The sequence below is a fragment of the Homo sapiens genome, chromosome 2 (assembly GCF_000001405.40).
Source record: "Homo sapiens chromosome 2, GRCh38.p14 Primary Assembly".
NCBI lineage: Eukaryota > Metazoa > Chordata > Mammalia > Primates > Hominidae > Homo > Homo sapiens.
In genome coordinates this window covers 111,076,029-111,096,361 of record NC_000002.12, presented here as the reverse complement: position 1 = coordinate 111,096,361, position 20,333 = coordinate 111,076,029, and the positions used below count along the sequence as shown (strand labels likewise).

Genomic DNA, 20,333 nt, shown 5'->3' with positions numbered 1-20,333 from the left:
CTGAGGCAGGAGAATGGCTTGAATGGGGACCCGGGAGGCAGAGGTTGAAGTGAGCTAAGATCAGGCCACTGCACTCCAGCCTGGGCTACAGAGCAAGACTCTGTCTCAATAATAATAATAATAATAATAATAATAATTTTAAAAATAAAAATTCTAACAATTGGAATTAAAAACTGGGAGGATGGGGTAACCAGAATGTTAGATGCATCTGAAGAAAGAATCAGTAAATGTGGAGAGCTATCATGTGAAAACACCTGGACCCTTGTTAGTAATACCAATCAGCCCAGCCTCCTCTAATCTTCTTTGCAAGCACATTCTCATTTAGCACTTTCAATTGACCAAGGGTCCCAGATATTTTTTGTGAAGAATGGCTGCAAATCATTTCTCTAAAGCCTTGAGATCCCTGCAAAGAGGTATGGTGGCAGTGGGAAAGGAAGGATTTGTGCCAGTTCTACTATCCTCTCCCCTTTGGGGACACCAGCAAATGGGATGAGTACTCAGGGTTGCCAGCTCAGAGATGTGACAAAGAAGGCTTTGAGATGTCCTATAGCCCTACAGATAAAGCTTGTTCCAAAGTGGCTGGCTCCTGCCTGCTTATTTCCCAGGCTGTTAAGAGGATCCAATAAGTGAGAAGTGTGGAAAGCATGTGGCACTGTAAGAATACAAAAGCAGTCCGGGTGCAGTGGATCACGCCTGTAATCCCAGCACTTTGGGAGGCCAAGGCTGGCGGATGACTTGAGTCCAGGAGTTGGAGATCAGCCTGGACAGCATGGCGAAACCCTGTCTCTACTAAAAATACAAAAATTAGTCAGGCATGGTGGCGGGTGCCTATAATCCCAGCTACTCAGGAAGCTGAGGCAAGGAATCACTTGAGCCCGGGAGGCCGAGGTGGCACTGAGCTGAGATCATGACACGGCACTCCAGCCTGGGTGACAGAGCAAGACTCCAACTCAAAAAAAAAAAAAAAAAAGAAAAAGAAAAATAAATACAAAAGCACTTCAATGTTTTATATGAAAGTTCATTTCCTTCACTAAATATTCCTCTGATATATTGCATATTGTTTATCTAATTCTGTGTCACTGAAATACCTGGTGGCACAGATTTAAAATCTTCCCTTATGTAGGTTTTTTTTTTTTTTTCTAATTAAAAAGTATTCTTCCATCTTCCCAAAGTGGGCACTCTCTTTGTGGGAAATAGTCTTCAAAGATAGCTGCCATCAATTCTTTCCTTCCCAGCATGTACATGCTACTCCTCACATCAAGCGGTAAAGTCTCTCCTCCAGCTGTGAATCTGTGCTGGCACTGTGACTTCCTCTGACTGATAGAATTCAGTGGAAGTAACACTGTTAGTTCTGGGCCTGTCCTTTATGAAGGCTGGCATCTTCTACTTTCTCATTCCTGGAAGCCATCAAATAAAACATTCGACCACCCTGAAACTACCCTACTGTGAATAGGCCCAAACTAGGCTACATGGAAGGAGACAATTACCCGTCTGTTCCTGTCATCCTAGCTGAGCTGCCAGCCATAAGAATGAAGAAGTCTTTGTGAACCCTTAGCCCCAGCAGACACCACATTGAGCAGAAGCACTGTCTGTTAATAGCTGAACTCTGTCTAGAATGCAAAATCATGAGAAATGATGCTGTGGCTTGAATGTATCCCCCAAAGTTTATGTGTTGAAAACTTAATCCCCAATGCAACAGTGATGAGAGGTATGACTTTTAGAAGGTGAATAGGACATGACAGCTCTGCCCTCATGAATGGATTAATGCTGTCATCTCAGGAGTGTTTCCTAATAAAAGGATAAGTTCAACCCCTCCCTTCCTTCTCTCTCGCTTTCACCCTCTCTTGCTCTTCCCTTCCATGGGATGGTGCTACATGGAGGCTTTTGCCAGACGTGGGCCCCTTGACCTTGGACTTTCCATCTTCCAGAACTGTAAGCAATGCATGTCTTTTCTTTATAAATTACCCAGTCTATGGTATTCTGTTACAGCAGCAAAAAATGGACCAAGACAAATAATAAGTGGTGGTTGTTTTAAGTCGTAAGTTTGGAGTCATTTGTTATACAGAAATACATTACTGTAGCATCATTACATATACTTTTCTCTGTAACCTCCGTTTTCCTGAAAAGGAAAAATGTTCTTCAAGGTTCTCCAGGGTCCACTGTAGTCTGGTTCCTGACGACTTCTCCAGGTTTTCCATTAGACAGGTAAAGTCTTTATTGTTTATTAATATGTCTAAGTACTCCATGTCTATGATCGTCCTCACTTTATCAACCCTGTCTGAAGTTTCAACTGCATTTTCCCCTCTCAATTGGGCCACCATCTCTTAATTTTCTACTCTTCAAGGTCTAGCATAAGAATGGCATTTATTCCTAAGACGTCTGTTCTGTCAACTCTGAATTTATTCTTATGGCCAAGTTCATTCGAAAACCTCCATGCCCTGTGAGAGTATTTGTGTTTTGTTTTGTTGTTTTTTGCTGTTGTTGTTTTGTTTTGTTTTGAGATGGAGTCTCACTCTGTAGTCCAAACTGGAGTACAGTGGCGCAATCTCTGCTCACTGCAACCTCCAACTCCAGGGCTCAAGCGATTCTCGTGCCTCAGCCTCCCGAGTAGCTGGGACTACAGCCACATGCCACCACGCCCAGCTAATTTTTTTGTATTTTAGTAGACAGGGTTTCACCATGTTGCCCAAGATGGTGTCGAACTCCTGAGCTCAGGAGATCTGCCCGCCTCAGCCTCCCATAGTGCTGGGATTACAGGCATGAGCCACTGCACCTGGCCAGTATTTATGTTTTTAAAGTGGTTTTGTGTCCTTGGATATGAGCTCCCTTCATGTGGAGACTGAGTCTTATACCTGTTTGTGTTTCAGCATCTCTCCTGCAGAAAGGATGTAATCAGAAATGTGTTTTACTGATGAGTATGCTGTTTCACATTCTTTTTCTTTGCAGTAGCATTTTCGTGGTGAATACTGGCCTCACCTTCTTTTTCAGGTGCTCCGTAGCTATTGTATTGAATTCCCCATGGCTACCACTGACATAAAAATACCCCGGGTCTTTCTTCTTAATATAAACAATGTATTAATAGGCTTTGGTAAGAAGCAGAAAAGAAATCACTAACACTTTTTTTTTTTTTTTTTTGGCCAAGACAAGGAAAACATTTTGATACCTTCCTCTCCTTTTCATGTTAGAAAACTCATGTACAGTGAGTCACTCCCTTGTCACCTAAACTCTTAAGTGTAATACGATCATGATAGGTAATGAAAATATACATGTGAAGTCCCAGAGGCATAAAAATCCATGAGTGGAAACTGATAGAAGATTGGCAGGACTGTTTTCTAAGAAAGCAAGGAGACCAGGGCTGATGTACAAAGTGTTTTTCTGTACCCCAGGGACCTTACCTGATTCCTGATCCTCGTGCTGGCCATGGGAGTCAAGTATTTATGTTCTAAATACCAGGCCCGCTCCTGAAACACCAGCTTGGTTCCATACAACAGACAAAACTAAGGGGTGGGGGAAAACAAAAGAAATGGACAAATAGCAATATATTAGAAAACACAAAATCTAAGGAGGCGAAAGAGAAATAACATAATATTACATTTCATAAAATCGTAAAAGTTAATACTTTCCTAATGTAAAATGGCCATGTTTTGGATGTGCAGTATAGGTTTTATTTTTTAAAAGAATTCTATGAAAAATTTAAAGCATATACAAAAGTAGAACAAATAGCATAACGAACTCCCATATATCCTTCCCCAAAACTCAAGAAATTTTAACTCACAACCAACCTTATTTCATATGTAACCTACCTGGTTCTCCTCTAGCCCACGTTATTTAGGAGCAAAGTCCATACAGCAAAGTCCACGTGAAAGATACTGTAAAGGTACATCCTGAATAATAATATCTTGATATTTTCCATTGAGCATGGTTTGGGTAAACTTTCACAAAAAATAGCATTCCTCATTTACATTTTGTTTCAGTATGTTTTTTCCTATTATGTTTCTGAAACCTACACACAGAGCTTCTGCATCACATCATGGGCACCAAGCAACAATAAATGAGTTTCCCTGTAGGAAGAAGTCACTTTTTATTTAACTGTTTATTCACGTAACTCTCGATATTCAATAATTTCAAAATCACGCAAAAATAGAGAGCATAGTATGGGCCTCATGTCTCCATCACCCATATCCACTCATCGCGAATCCTGTTTTTACTCTGCTCCCACCTATTCCCCTTCTCTGTATCACTGCAAAGCAGACCTCAGTCATATCATTTCACCCACAAATATCTCACTGTGTATCTCTAAAAGATAATGACACATTAGAAGTAAGATAGCCTCAAAACCAAACCAAGCAAAAACAAAACCCTCTTATTCTGAGTCAAATAGAAATGATCTTCCCACTAGAAGACAATTTGCCTTCTATGGCTTATCAGACTCAGAAGTCATGTGGTTCACAGTCATGTGGTTCACAGTCATGCAGACCCTGTGGTCTCCTCATTCCTTTCTTGGGGTTCTGGCGTATCCTTGGAACAGCATCATTATGAGGAGCCTCAACTATTCAGTCTTCCCAGAAAGTGTCACAGTATGGCTGAGCAGCTTATTTATGAAAGATATTTAAGGTTAATTTCAGCTCTTTTATGAAATTACCAAAGTCTGGACAGTAGTTCCTTGGCCAGATTAAGTGCCCTTTGGGTCTTTTACATGACACCAATAAAGATGTTAGCTGACCCTTCAGATAGTGTGAGCAACTGAGACTATGAACTGCAATTCATACTGAAAACATAAATTCTTATAAAAATAATAAATCATATAAATTATGTGGTTAAGCCAAATCATGAGTCTCTAGATGAACTTCTTATGTGCTACAAAAATATTTGCTGTGAGTTTCTAGGTGCAGAAATTTAATCCTCATCGCTCAGGTATACAAAAATATAAGATCAGTGACAAGAAATCCAGAGCTCTAGAAGTATAAGAGTTCTTAGAAATAATCTAGTCCATCTTCTCACTCAATCCAGAATCCTGTATCAGCCAGGGTTCAACCAAGAAACAGATGATACATTCACATTAGTATAATATAAGAAGCATTTAAATAGGATGGACAAGATGTAGGAGACCCCTAAGAGATAGTGCAGTACCCTGGAGCTGGTAACTGGAGCTGTTACCACCTTCTAGGCTTAGAGGGTAGAGGGCAGGGAGTGGCTGCTGGATCCTGGAAGAAAAAGCTATGTAAACAGGGACATTTTAAGAGGAGCTGTGACCCTCAGCCAAGAAAAACAGCAATCCCAAGGTGACCCCATAGTGAGGCAAGCAGGGAGCAGGGGGATCCTAACTCTGCTGTCTTCCTCCCTCTTTAATCTCTAGCTGTTCTCAGCTAACAAGGGATGTGAAGGACCTCTTCAAAGACTCCAAACCACTGCTCTAGCTGTTATCTAAACCAAACTAAGTCCAAAAGGCGAGGATTCCATGGATGCAGGCAATGTAGGTCAACTTCCTAGATCCACACAGGGTAGAGAAGAGTGGTGAGCAGAGCTACAGAGGCAAATGGAAGACATCTATCACAAGTCACATCTCTAACACCCCTGACAGAGGGTCATTCAGCGTCTTGTCCAGTCCCATCTGATCCAAGCCAAAGCCTGCTTGATCACAGAGAGCTCCCAACAAGCTGCTAACTGGCCGGCATTCCCAGGCTGTTCCCAAATGATGGTTTTCCCCAGGCTCACACCATGCATCCTGACTATGTCTGCTCTTCCCTTCTTTGGACTTGAGAATTGCTCTCCTGTTGACAGTCTGTGGCTTTTGTGTACCTGATTCTCAGGGCCACGTTTTTGGCTTTAATCTTTTGCTTTCCTCCAGGAACACAGCTCAGACTCTCCTTGGGCTACCCCCTTTGCTTGTCCTGGTAAATAGGAGTCCTGGTTCTTGGTGGCTACCAGAACACCACAGCTAGGCACAGGTACCATCAGCCCAGTCTCAGTCCCCCAAACAGTACCTGAAATGTCTTTCTTTTGTGTTCCAGAGATGGGAGCTCAGTGTGTTAAGAGGCATCCAATTTCCTAATGAATCTCACTGTTGGAAGAGTCATTGTGTCTGGAGCCACTTCTCTATATGGAATATGAATTTATGGATTAACTGTGAGGAAGGGGATCTTGTCCTGCTCATCTTTATATGCCTAGGGTCTGGTAAAGGAGCTGACACACTGTATGATATTAGCTGAAACCCAATTTCCTATAACTCATAGCTATTGATGTTACAACTTCTGCTACCTAAGGAACCAAGCAGCAGTCTATGAAAGCTTCCAGACAATAGCCTTTAAAAAATTTAAAGATATTTTTCACATCTCCACTTAGTCTTCCACCCTTCAGGATGATCAGCCTCAACAGATCGTCAATCTCCTCTTAACACTTGGTTTCAACTCTTGGGCCACCTTGAAACTGGTGGCCTAGTCTGGATGGTTAATTCTCTTCTCCAAGGTGTCTTATAAAACTAAAAGCAATATCCAGTGTTGTCTCATCACTATGGCATCTGCAGCACCATTACTGCCCTAGGTTTGGATTCTATACTTTTACATGCAAAGCAAGGCAGAATGTGCTTTTATAGTTAGTATATAATATTTTTGAATAAATGAGTGAAAGAAAACCATGCACATTTGGTTTATATCAAGCATTTGAACATTTGACATTCCTAACTAAGCCTTTCCCCCCATAAACTATTTTCAACTAACCCATACATACATATATACATCCCTAAGGGAATGATTTTAATTTTAAATTTATTTTAAAGTCATCTTGTTTATATGGCCTACCTTGAACTCCCCAAGGAGTTCTTTATGACTCTTGGTTAAGTCACCTGACATGTTTTGTCATTTTCAAGTTTGTAAAGTCTTGTCAGCTGATAGGTCTACATCAGCTGAATTCAAGTTAGCTGAGACTTGATTCAAGCTCTCTGGAAACTTATTTAATGGAATATTACCTGACTCTTGTTTCTCTAGCTTGGCAAAATGTTGGCCAAAATCAAGACACATCATCAATTTTTCCAAATTTGTTTGTTTGTTTGTTTGTTTGTTTGTTTTTGAGACGGAGTCTCGGTCTATCGCCAGGCTGGAGTGCAGTGGCAATCTTGGCTCACTACAACCTCCACCTCCCTGGTTCAAGCGATTCTCCTTTCTCAGCCTCCCGAGTAGCTGGGACTACATGCTCACGCCACCATGCCCAGCTAAGTTTTTGTATTTTTAGTAGAGACGGGGTTTCACCATGTTGGCCAGGATGGTCTCGATCTCTTGACCTTGTGATCCACCTGCCTCGGCCTCCCAAAGTGCTGGGATTACAGGCGTGAGCCACCGTGCCTGGGTCCAAATTTTCTCTTCTAGTAATCTGATTAAGAAAGGAAGTATAAGAAAGGAAGGATAAGCCTTACTTAATTAATCCTTACTTATCCTTACTTAACTAGGCAGCCTTCTAGTGATGGTCCCTTTTCTATTTGTACATAAACTATCTGGAATAGTCTTTCGTAGAATTTTAACTTGGATTTATATTAATCTCAGATTGTATAGTTTCCCATATCTACTTTTTTTTGTTTTTGTTTTAACTTTTATTTTAGGTTCAGGGCTATATGTGTGAGTATAGTTCAACTGATGTCATGGGAGTCTGGTGTACAGATTATTTCATCACCCATGTACCAAGCCTAGTACCCGATAGTTATGTTTCCTGATCCTCTCCCTCTTCCCACCCTGCACCCTAAGGTTGGCCCCGGTGTCTGTTGTTCCCCTTTGTGTGTCCATGTGTTCTCATTATTTAGCTCCCACTTAAAAGTGAGAACAAGCAGTACTTGGTTTTCTGTTCCTGGGCTGGCTTGTTAAGGATAATGGGCTCCAGTTCTATCCATGTTCCTGCAAACGACATTATCTCATTTTTTTTCATGGCTGCATAGTATATATACCACAGTTTCTTTACGAAGCCTACCATTAATGGGCATTTAGGTTGATTGCATGTCTTTGCTATTGTGAATGGTGCTGCAGTGAACACAGGCATGCATGTATCCTTATGGTAGAATGATTTATATTCCTTTGGGTATATGCCCAGTAGTGGGATTGCTGGGTTGAATGGTAATTCTGCTTTTAGTTCTTTGAGGAATTGCCACACTGCTTTCAGCAATGGTTGAACTAATTTACACTCCCACCAGCAGTACATAGGCGTTCCCTTTTTCTCTGCAACCTTGCCAGCATCTGTTATTTTTTGACTTTTTAATAACAGCCATTTTGACTGGTGTGAGATGGTATCTTATTGTGGTTTTTATTTGCATTTCTCTAATGATTAGTGATATTGAGCATTTTTTCATATGCTTTTTGGCCACATGTATGTCTTCTTCTGAAGTGTCTGTTCATGTTCTTTGCCTACTCTTCAATGGGGTTGTTTGTTTTTGTCTTATAAATTTAAGTTCCTTAGAGATGCTGGATATTAGACCTTTGTCAGATGTATAGTTTGCAAATATTTTCTCCCATTCTGTAAGTTGGTTGTTCACCCTGTTGATAGTTTCTTTTGCTGAGCAGAAGCTCTTTAGTTTAATTAGATCCCATTTGTTAATTTTTGCTTCTGTTTTAATTGCTTTTGGCATCTTTGTCATGAAATCTTTGCCAGTTCCTACGTCTGGAATGGTATTTCCCAGGTTATCATAGGTTTAGATTTCACATTTAAGTCTTTAATCCATCTTGAGTTGATTTTTGTATATGGTGTAAGGAAGGGGTCCAGTTTCAGTCTTTAGCATATGGCTAGTCAGTTATCCCAGCACCATTTATTGAATAGGGAGTCCCCTCCTCATTGCTTGTTTTTGTTAGCTTTGTCAAAGATCAGATGGTGTGCTGCATTGTAGGTGTGCAGCATTATTTCTGGGCTCTCTATTCTGTACCATTGGTCTATGTGTCTGTTTTTGTACCAGTACTATGCTATTTTGGTTACTGTATCTGTAATACAGTTTGAAGTTGAGTAATATGATGCCTCCAACTTTGTTCCTTTTGCTTAGGATTGCCTTGGCTATTTGGACTCTTTTTTGGTTCTATATGAATTTTAAAACAGCTTTCCCTACTTCTGTGAAGAATGTCATTGATAGTTTGATAGGAATAGCATTAAATCTGTAAATGTTTTGGTCAGGATGGCCATTTTATCAATATTGATTCTTCCTATCCATGAGCATGGAATGTTTTTCCATTTGTCTGTGTCATCTCTGATTTCTTTGAGCACTGTTTTATAATTTTCATTGTAGAGATCTTTTACATTTCTGGTTATTTGTATTTCTAGGTATTTTCTTCTTTTTGTGTCCATTGTGAATGGGATTGCATTCCTGATTTGGCTCTGAACTTGGATTTTGTTGGTGTATCGGAATGCTACTGATTTTTATATGTTGATTTTGTATCCTGAAATTTGCTGAAGTTGTTTATTAGCTCAAGGATCTTTTGGGTAGAGACCATAGGGTTTTTCTAGACATAGAATCATGTTGTCTGCAAACAGGAATAGTTTGACTTCCTCCCTTCCTAGTTGGATACCTTTTATTTATTTATCTTGCCTCATTGCTCTGGCCAGGACTGACTATGTTAAGCAGAGGTAGTGAGAGAAGGGATCCTTGTCTTGTGCTGGTTTTCAAGGGGAATGCTTCCAGCTTTTGCCCATTCAGCATGATTTTGACTGTGGGTTTTTCATAGATGACTCTTACTATGTTCAAGTATGTTCCTTCAGTGCCTTTTGTCGAAGATGTTCAATAAAATGCAACATTCCTTCATGTTAAAAACCCCCAATAAACCAACAGCCAACCCTCTATACATCAACAATATCCAAGCTGAGAGCCAAATCAGGAATGCAATCCCATTCACATCTATCTATCGAATTTCATCTGCATCTACTGAGATAATCATATGGTTTTTGTCTTTAGTTCTGTTTATGTGATGAATCACATTTATTAACTTGTGTATGTTGAACCAACCTAGCATCCCAAGGATAAAAACTACTTGATCCTGGTGGATTAGCTTTTTACATGCTGCTGGATTTGATTTGCTAAGATTTTGTTGAGTATTTTTGCATCTATGTTCATCAAGGATATTGCCCTAAAGTTTTCTTTTTTGTTGTTGTGTCCCTGCCAGGCTTTGGTATCAGGATGATGCCAGCCTCATAGAATGAGTTGGGGAGGTGTCCTTTCTCAATGTTTTGAAATAGTTTCAGTAGTAATGATACCAGGTCTTCTTTGTATATCTGGTAGAATTCAACTGTGAATCCATCTGGTCCTGGGCTATTTTTGGTTGGTAGGCTATTTATTACTGATTCAATTTTGGAGCTCATTATTGGTCTGTTAACAGATTCAGTTTCTTCCTAGTTCAGCCTTGGGAGGATGTGTGTGTCCAGGAACTTATCCCTTTCTTCTAGACTTCCTGGTTTGTGTATATACAGGTATTCATAGTAGTCTCTGATGGTTATTTGTATTTCTGTGGAGTCGGTGGTAACATCCCCTTTGTCATTTCTAATTGTGTTTATTTGGACTTTCTCTCTTTTCTTCTTTATTAGTCTAGCTATCTTATTAATTTTTTCAAAGAAACAACTTTTGGATTTGTTGATCTTTTGTATTTTTTTATGTCTCAATCTCCTTCAGTTCTGCTTTGATTTTGGTTATTTCCTGTCTTCTGCTAGCTTAGGGGTTGGTTTGCTCTTGCTTCTTTAGTTCCTCTAGTTGTAATGTTGGGTAATTATTTTCAGATCTTTCCAACTTTGTGATGTGGGCATTTAGTGATATAAATTTCACTCTTAACACTACCTTACCTGTGTCCCAGAGATTCTGCTGTATTGTATCTCTGTTCTCATTAGTTTCAAAGAACTTCTTGAAATCTGCCTTAATTTCATTGTTTACTCAGAAGTCATTCAGAGCAGGTTGTTTAATTTCCATGTAATTATATGGTTTTGAGGAATTTTCTTAGTCTTGATTTCTACTTTTATTGCTCTGTGGTCCAAGAGCATGGTTGGTATGATTTCAGTGTTTTTGAATTGGCTGAGTGTTGTTTTATGCCTGACTGTGTGGTCAATTTTAGAGTATGTGCCATGTAGCCATGAGATGAATGTATCTTCTGTTGTATTTGGGTGGGGAGTTGTGTAGATGTCTATCAGGTCCATTTGATCCAGTGTTGAGTTCAGCTCCTGAATACTTTTGTTTTTTCTGCCTCAGTGATCTGTCTAATACTGTCATTGAGGTGCTGAAGTTTCCTGCTATTATTGTGTGGGAATGTAAGTCTCTTCATAGGTCTCTTAAGAACCTGCTTTATGAATCTGGGTGTTCCTGTGTTGTGTACATATACATTTAGGGTAGTTACATCTTCTTGTTGAATTGAATCATTTATCATTGTGTAATGTCCTTCTTTGTCTTTAAAATTTTTGTTGGTTTAAAGTATGTTTTGTCTGAAATTAGGATTGCCACCTCTGCTTTTTTTTTTTTTTTTCCTGTTTTCCATTTGCTTGGTAGATTTTTCACCATCCCTTCATTTTGAGCCTATGGGTGTCATTGCATGTGAGATGGGTTTCTTGAAGACAGCATACTATTGGGTCTTGCTCTTTATCAAGCTGGCCACTCTGTGCCTTTTAATTGGGTCATTTAGTCCATTTACATTTAAGGTTAGTATTGATATGTGTGGATTTGATCCTGTCATTGTGTTGTTAGCTGTCTTTGAAAAGGTGGACATTTGCTCATTTATAATTTTCCGGGATTTCTTTTGTCCTCCTTTGTTTGAAATCTCTGTCAATCATAAGTCCTTTCCAATTGAGAACAATGTTGCTTCAGAGAGAAGATGGGAACATAATAGGAGATAAGTAGCTTTGCTTTCTTTTTGCCATGTATTAATACCAAATTTTTCTTGCCTAAACCAAGAGTCCATCTCTTCACATCTTGAATATAGCTAAAAATGGCCTTTTAAATTTTTATAAGATTATTTGTCAAGCCTCATGTTATGCTGGGGTTTGGCCCTACTGACATTTATTAAATGCTTTGTGTTTATATTTGGACAAATGTCTCCCCCACAATCCTTCCACTTCTTGTGTGTGTGTGTGTGTGTGTGTGTGTGTGTGTGTGTGTGTGTGTGTGTGTATTCCTTAGATCTGTGTCCGTAAGACAGCAGTCCCTCTACTCCTACCCTGGTTTCTATAAGTATGTCTCAAATCATAACCGTTTTTTATTTTTTGGGAGAGATGGGGTCTTGCCATCTTGCCCAGGCTGGTCTTGAACTCCTGGGCTCAAGCGATCCTTCCCCCTTGGCCTCCCAAAGTGCTAGGATTGCAGGTATGAGCCATCACTCCTGGCCCCAAATCACATTTTTTTTTCTGGAAGTATTGTCAGAATGACATTTCTGTTTTTATTCCTGACAAGTCCATGTGCCCCTTTGAAGTCTCTGTCTATAGAGTCTAATATCTAATATTTATCAAACACCTACTATGTGTCAGACACTATAAGGTATTTTATATCCACCTCATTTAGTCCTCATAATAATTCCGAAAGCTAAAAGTTGTAGACCTGTGCAGGAAAGAGCTAACAGGTCTGGGCTGCTCAAATCTTGCACAAACCCAAAGTTTTCAGGACTGGCCCTTTCCTGGCTCTTGGGAGAGAGACTTTTGAGCTCTTGTAGTATCTTGCCTGGTATGAGTGTGTTTGTATGCCTGGACCTTTGGGCCATGGTGCATCACTTTTACCTCTGGGGTAGTTGTGCGATATGGTCTGAGGAGCTGAGGAGCTGAGGTCAGTCATATGAATGCTACATGCTTATGTGACTATTCAAAAAAAAAAACAAAAAAACCCTGGACTCCAAGGTTTGGGTGATCTGGTTGCCACCACCTTGCACATGTTATCACACATCATTGTTGGGAGAATTAAATGCTGTCTATAGACTCCACTGGGAGTGGACAATTGGAAGTTTGCTGATCTCTCCTGGACTTTACCCCCTGTACCTTTTCCCTTTGCTGATTTTAATCTGTATTTTTTGCTGTAATAAACTATAACTATGAATATAACAGCTTATTTGCATCCTATGAGACATTCTAGCAAATCCCTGAACCTGAGGATAGTCTTGGGGACCCCTGACACAGCCCCCTTTTTACACATGAAGAAACAGAGGCTCAAAGAAAGTTAAATGATAGAGTAAGGGTTGGAATCAATTCTTTTTTTTAATTATTATAATTTAAGTTCTGGGATACATGCGCAGAATGTGCAGGTTTGTTACATAGCTATACACGTGCCATGGTGGTTTGCTGAACCCATCAACCCATCATCTACATTAGGTATTTCTCCTAATGCTATCCCTCCCCTAACCCCAACCCCCTGACAGGCCCCAGTGTGTGATCTTCCCCTCCCTGTGTCCATGCGGTCTCATTGTTCAACTCCCACTTATGAGTGAGAACATGTGATGTTTGGTTTTCTGTTCTTGTGTTAGTTTGGTGAGAATGATAGTTTCCAGCTTCATCCATGTCCCTGAAAAGTTCATTAACTCATCCTTTTTTATGGCTGCATAGTATTCCATGGTGTATATGTGCCACATTTTCTTTATCCAGTCTATCATTGGTGGGCATTTGGGTTGGTTCCAAGTTTTTGCTATTGTGAACAGTGCTGCAATAAACATATGTGTGCATGTGTCTTTATAGTAGCATGATTTATAATCCTTTGGGTATATACCAGTAATGGGATTGCTGAGTCAAATGGTATTTCTGGTTCTAGATCACTGGAATCTAGAACCAGAAATCACCACGGTGTCTTCCACAATGGTTGAACTAATTTACACTCCCACCAACAGTGTAAAAGTGTTCCTATTTCTCCACATTCTTTCCAGCATCTGTCTTTTCCTGACTTTTTAATGATTGCCATTCTAACTGGCATGAGATGGTATCTCATTGTGGTTTTGATTTGCATTTTTCTAATGACCAGTGATGATGAGCTTTTTTTCACGTTTGTTGGTCACATAAATGTCTTCTTTTGAGAAGTGTCTATGCATATCCTTCACCCAATTTTTGATGGGGTTGTTTCTTTTTTTTTTTCTTGTAAATTTGTTTAAGTTCTTTGTAGATTCTGGGTAGTAGACCTTTGTCAGACGGATAGGTTGCAAAAATTTTCTCCCATTCTGTAGGTTGCCTGTTCACTCTGATGATAGTTTCTTTTGCTGTGCAGAAGCTCTTTAGTTTAATTGGATCCCATTTGTCAATTTTGGCTTTCATTGGCATTGCTTTTGGTGTTTTAGTCATGAAGTCTCTGCCCATGCCTATGTCCTGAATGCTATTGCCTAGGTTGTCTTCTAGGATTTTTATGGTTTTAGGTCTTACATTTAAGTCTTTAATCCATCTTGAGTTAATTTTTGTATAAAGTGTAAGCAAGGGGTCCAGTTTCTGTTTTCTGTGGGCTAGCCAGTTTTCCTAACACAATTTATTGAATATGGAATCCTTTCCCCATTGCTTGTTTTTGTAAGGTTTGTCAAAGATCAGATGATTATAGATGTGTAGCATTATTTCTGAGGCCTCTGTTCTGTTCCATTGGTCTATATATCTGTTTTAGTACCAGTACCATGCTGTTTTGGTTACTGTAGCCTTGTAGTATAGTTTGAAGTCAGGTAGTGTGATGCCTCCAGCTTTGTTCCTTTTGCTTAGGATTGTATTGGCTATACGGGCTCTTTTTTGGTTCCATATGAAATTTAAAGTAGTTTTTTTCTAATTCTGTGAAGAAAGTCAATGGTAGCTTGGTGGGGATAGCATTGAATCTATAAATTACTTCAGGCAGTATGGCCATTTTCATGATATTGATTCTTCCTATCCAGGAGCATGGAATGTTTTTCCATTTGTTTGTGTCCTCTCTTATTTCGTTGAGCAGCAGCTTGTAGTTCTCCTTGAAGATGTCCTTCACATCCCTTGTAAGTTGTATTCCTAGATATTTTATTCTCTTTGTAGCAATTTTAAATGGGAGTTCACTCATGATTTGGCTCTCTGTTTGTATGTTATTGGTGTATAGGAATGTTTGTGATTTTTGCACATTGATTTTGTATCCTGAGACTTTGCTGAAGTTGCTTATACGCTTAAGGAGATTCTGGGCTGAGACGATGGGGTTTTCTAAATATACAATCATGTCATCTGCAAACAGAGAGAATTTGACTTCCTCTCTTCCTATTTGAATATCCTTTATTTCTTTCTCTTGCCTGATTGCCCTGGCCAGAACTCCCAATACTATGTTGAATAGGAGTGGTGAGAGAGGGCATTCTTGGCTTGTGCTGGTTTTCAAAGGGAATGCTTCCACCTTTTGCCTATTCAGTATGATATTGGCTGTGGTTTTGTCATAAATAGCTCTTATTATTTTGAGATACATTCCATCGATACCTAGTTTATTGAGAGTTTTTAGCATGAACGGATGTTGAATTTTATTGAAGGCATTTCTGTATCTATTGAGATAATCATGTGGTTTTTGTCATTCGTTCTGTTTATGTGATAGATTATGTTTGTTGATTTGTATGTGTTGAACTAGCCTTGCATCCCAGGGATGAAGCCAGCTTGATCGTGGTGAATAAGCTTTTTGATGTGCTGTTGGATTTGGCTTGCCAGTTTTTTATTGAGGATGTTCACATCATTGTTCATCAGGGATATTGGCCTGAAATTTTGTTGTTGTTGTTGTGTCTCTGCCAGGTTTTGGTATCAGGATGATGCTGGCCTCATAAAATGAGTTAGGGAGAGTCCCTCTTTTTCTACTATTCCGAATAGTTTCAGAAGGAACGGTACCAGCTCCCCTTTGTACCTCTGGTAGAATTTGGCTGTGAATCCATCTTGTCCTGGGCTTTTTTTGGTTGATAGGCTATTAATTATTGCCTCAATCACACAACTACATGGAAACTGAACAACCTGCTCCTGAATGACTATGAAATTTAGGCAGAAATAAATAAGTTCTTGAAACCAATGAGAACAAAGACACAACATACCAGAATCTCTGGGACACAGCTAAAGCAGTGGTTAGAGGGAAATTTATACCACTAAATGCCCACAGGAGGAAGCAGGAAAGATCTAAAATTGACACCTTAACATCACAATTAAAAGAACTACAGAAGCAAGAGCAAACAAATTCAAAAGCTAGCAGAAGACAAGAAATAACTAAGATCAGAGCAGAGCTGAAGGAGATAGAGACACAAAAAATCCTTCAAAAAATCAATGAATCCAGGAGCTGGTTTTTTGAAAAGATTAACAAAATAGATTGCTAGTCAGACTAATAAAGAAGAAAAGAGAGATGAATCAAATAGACACAATAAAAAATGATAAAGGGGATATCCCCACTGATCCCACAGAAATACAAACTACCATCACAGAATACTATAAACACCTCTATGCAAATAAACTAGAAAATCTAGAAGAAATGGATAAATTCTGGGACACATACACCCTCCCAAGACTAAACCAGGAAGAAGTTGAATCCCTGAATGGAATTAATTCTTTCAGAAATCAAAGATTTTTTTTTTTTTTTGGCCTTTCACACTGTAGTACCTCCACTTTTCAGAATTAAAAAAAAAAAAGGTGACTCTTACTAAAGGTATAGGCTATGGGCTCTGGTTCTGGGTAACATAGAGATGACTTCCCCCATCTCTTTCACTGAATGCAGCCATAATTTCTGGACACAGTGCATGGAGAAGCTACTTGAGGACTCTGAAAAATAAATAGTGGCAGGTAGATTAGGGAAGAAGATCAGAATTCAAAGTGCTCCAAAACTGGCAGTGAGTTTAACTCTTTTTCCTCATGCTGCTCATGTCCCTGGAAGCATGTGCAGCAGAGTAGGATAACTAAACCTCAGCTTTCTGGCTGGAGGATGAGGAGAGGAAGCCCGAGGGAACCAGAAAGTATCAGGATGGTCATGGAGAGGCAGGACTTGGGAAAGCAGCCCCAGAAAGTTGTTTACGAAATGTTGAATGCAGCCTGAGGCCTTCATGCATGGATTTCATGCTAATTAGCATACAAAAGACTTTGAACAGACACAGAAAGACAAATATTACATGTTCTCACTTATAAGTGGGAACTAAATAATGTATATACACTAGGACACAGAATGTGGAATCAGTCAATGGAGACTCAGAAGGTCGAGAGGCTGGGGGGATAGATGAGAAATTACTTAATGGGTACAATGTACATTATTTGGGTGATGAATACCCTACTGAATACCCAAGGAATAACCCTAATATCCATGAATTTACCACTATGCAATATATGCATGTATTAACAAAATTGCACTGTACTCCATAAATTTATAAAAACTTTTAAAATAAGTAAACAAATACATGTACAGCTTTTAAAAAAAGGCCTTGATAACTGAACTAGTAAACAGATGAGAATTCAGATGCCAGACTGGCCTGTTAGTGGTGCATACACGGAACATAGCTAAATAGTGCTGCAAAAGGTTTGAGGGCCAAACCGACATTGGAATCACAATCAACAGAAGGTGCATTGAAATTTGCAGCCCAAACATAACCAGGTACATAGCCTGCTAAAACAAAAACATCAACATTCTCCATAGGTTTTAAACAACATCCAGAATCTCATAACATAATATTCAAAAGGTCTAGGAAATAATCCAATATTTTTCAGCATATGAAGGAGAAGAGAAATGTAGCTTGCATGAAAAAGGTCAATCAACGGATGCCAACAGCAAAATGACACAGATGTTAGAATTATCTGGCAAAAGCTTTAAAGTAGCCATTCTAAAAATTATCTAATGAACAATCACAAACCGTCTTGAAACAAATGGTAGAATAGTAAATTTCAGTAAAGAAATAGAAAATACAGGCTAGGTGTGGTGGCTCACACCTGTAATCCCAGCATTTTGGGGGGCTGAGGTGGGCAGATCACTTGAGGTCAGGAGTTCAAGACCAGCCTGGCCAACATGGTGAAACCCGACCTCTACTTAGAATACAAAAATTAGCTGGGCATGGTGGTGGGTGCCTGCAATCCCAGCTACTTGGGAGGCTGAGGCATGAGATTGCTTGAATATGGGAGGCAGAGGTTGCAGTGAGCTGACATCGCGCCATTGCACTCTAGCCTGGGCGGCAGAGTAAGACTCTGTCTCAAAAAAAAGAAAGAAAGAAATATAAAACATAAAAGAGAATCAAGTAGACATTTTAGAACTGAAAAGTAACCTGATTAAAAGAAAGATGAGCTCCAAAGCAGAACTATGGAGACAGAGGAAAGACTGAGTAAACTAGAAGATAGAATAATAGAAATTATCCTATCTGAACAACAGAGAGAAAATAGACTGGCAAAGAAAAAGAGAGCCCCAGGGACCTGTGGGATTGTAACAAAAGGTCTAACCTTCATGTCATTGGAATCACGGAAGGAGAGGAGAAAGAAGGCAGTACTTGAAGATATAATGTCAAAAGACTCCCTAAATCTGGCAAAACCCCACAAATGTGCAGGTTTCAGAAGTTTAGTGAACCCCAAACAGGATAAACACAAAGAAATTTATGCCTAGACACATCATAATCAAACATCTGGAATCTAAAAACAAAGAAAAATTCTTGAAAGCAGCTGAAGAAAAACTGACGCATTACCTCTAGGAGAAAAACAATCTGAATGATTGAATTTCTCATCAGAAACTGTAGAGACCAGAAAGATTTTTCAAGTACTGAAAGTAACAACTGTCAATCCAGAATTATATATCGTGTAAATGATCGTTCAGAAATTAGGATGAGATTTAAAAAATTACCAATGAGAAAACAGAATTTGTTGCCAGCAAATCTGCTCTAAAAAAATTGTTAAAAGCAGTTTTTCAGGCAGAAGCAAAATGAAGGAAGGAAAAATGGAAATGGTAAATACCAATCAGGAACGAAGGAAGAGCAACAGAAAGGGTAAACAGCTGAATAAATATGATAAACTATTTCTTCTCATAATTCTTTTAAAACATGTTTAATGATTGAAAGCAAAATTTGAAAGCAAAATATTGTCTGATGTGGTTTCCAGGGTATGTAGGTGTACTGATAAGATGCATATGACAGAAAGAGGGGAGAGGAACACTATGGTGGTAAGGTTTCTACATTCCACTTGAAGAGATAAAATATTGATTCTAAGTAAATTATAAAGTTAAGTATATATATTGTAGTTCTTACAGCAACTACTAAACAGAAAAACACATATGCAAAGAGATATAGTTAAATTTCTTTTAAATGAAATTCTAAAGAATGTTCAAGTAATTCAAAAGAAGGTAAGTGTTGCAGGCTGAATGATAGCCATCCAAATTCCTGAATCCTAATTTCAGATCCTAATTCCTGAAATCTGCAAATATTACTTTATAAGGGAAAAGGGCCTTTACAGGTGTAGTTAAGATTCTTAAAATGGAGAGATTATTCTGGATTATTCAGGTAGGTCCTAAATGCAATCACATGCATCTTTATAAGAGAGAGATTTCACAGACAGAAGAGGAGGAGGCAATGTGACCACGGAGAGAGAGACTGGAACGAGTTGGCCACAGTCAAGGAATGCCAGAAGCAACCAGAGCCTGAAAGAAGCAAGGAATGGATTATTCTCTGAAGCCTCCAAAGGTAGCGCAATCCTGCCAACACCTTGATTTTGGATCAGTGATACCGATTTCAGACTTCTGACCTCTAAAACTATGAAAGAATAATTTTTTGTTGTTTTATGTCATCAACCTTGCAGTAGTTTGTTACAGTAGCCATAGGAAACTAACACAACATGTAAGAGGAAATGGAGGAATGAAAAGAAGAGAAAACAGAAAACAAATAAAATGACAGACCTAATCCAAACATATCAATAATCACATTAAATGTAAATAGTTTAAACATACCAATCAAGAGACAAATTTTAAAATAAATGTTTTAAAAAAACCTAAGTTGTGTACCAAAAAATAACTCCAAATAAAATGATAGATGTAAAACTAAAAGGACAAAAAATATGCAAAGCAAAAACTAATCCAAATAAGCCTGCAGTATTTATATTAATATCAGACAATGTAGACTTCAGAAAAAAGAAAACTTCCAGGAATAAAGAGGGAATTACATAATGATAAAAAGGCTAATGAAACAAGAAGATGTAATAATGCTAAATGTGAATGCACACACAATGCTTTAAAATATACTAAGCAAAAACCAGACAGAATGGAAAGGATAAGTAGACAGATCCACAGGCATAGTTGAATATGTCACTTTACTCTTTCAGTAATAGATAGGACTGAGATTATCAGTCGATAGACAGAATGCTGATTGACAGAAGATCAGCAAGGATACAAAGAACTGAAGAACATTATCAACCAACTAGATCTTCTTGACATTATAACATTCTACTCAACAATAGCAAATACACATTTTTTT

The 20,333-nt window shown here is 38.9% G+C and overlaps 1 protein-coding gene across 23 annotated transcripts in view; it reads right to left on the bottom strand.

Annotated features, from left to right (window-relative positions):
* The window catches only part of ACOXL (acyl-CoA oxidase like), a 385,976-nt gene that overhangs the window by 22,187 nt on the left and 343,456 nt on the right, over nt 1-20,333 (bottom strand). For 20 of the 23 annotated variants that reach the window (NM_001437600.1, XM_011511414.4, NM_001142807.4 and 17 more), the window contains one exon: nt 3,396-3,497. In NM_001437600.1, the coding sequence (NP_001424529.1) occupies nt 3,396-3,497 (102 nt within the window). Of the gene's footprint in view, nt 1-2,017; nt 2,876-3,395; nt 3,498-20,333 lie in introns of those variants that run through there. The other 3 variants (NM_001371254.1, XM_011511423.2, XM_011511419.3) reach the window with 1 other exon arrangement.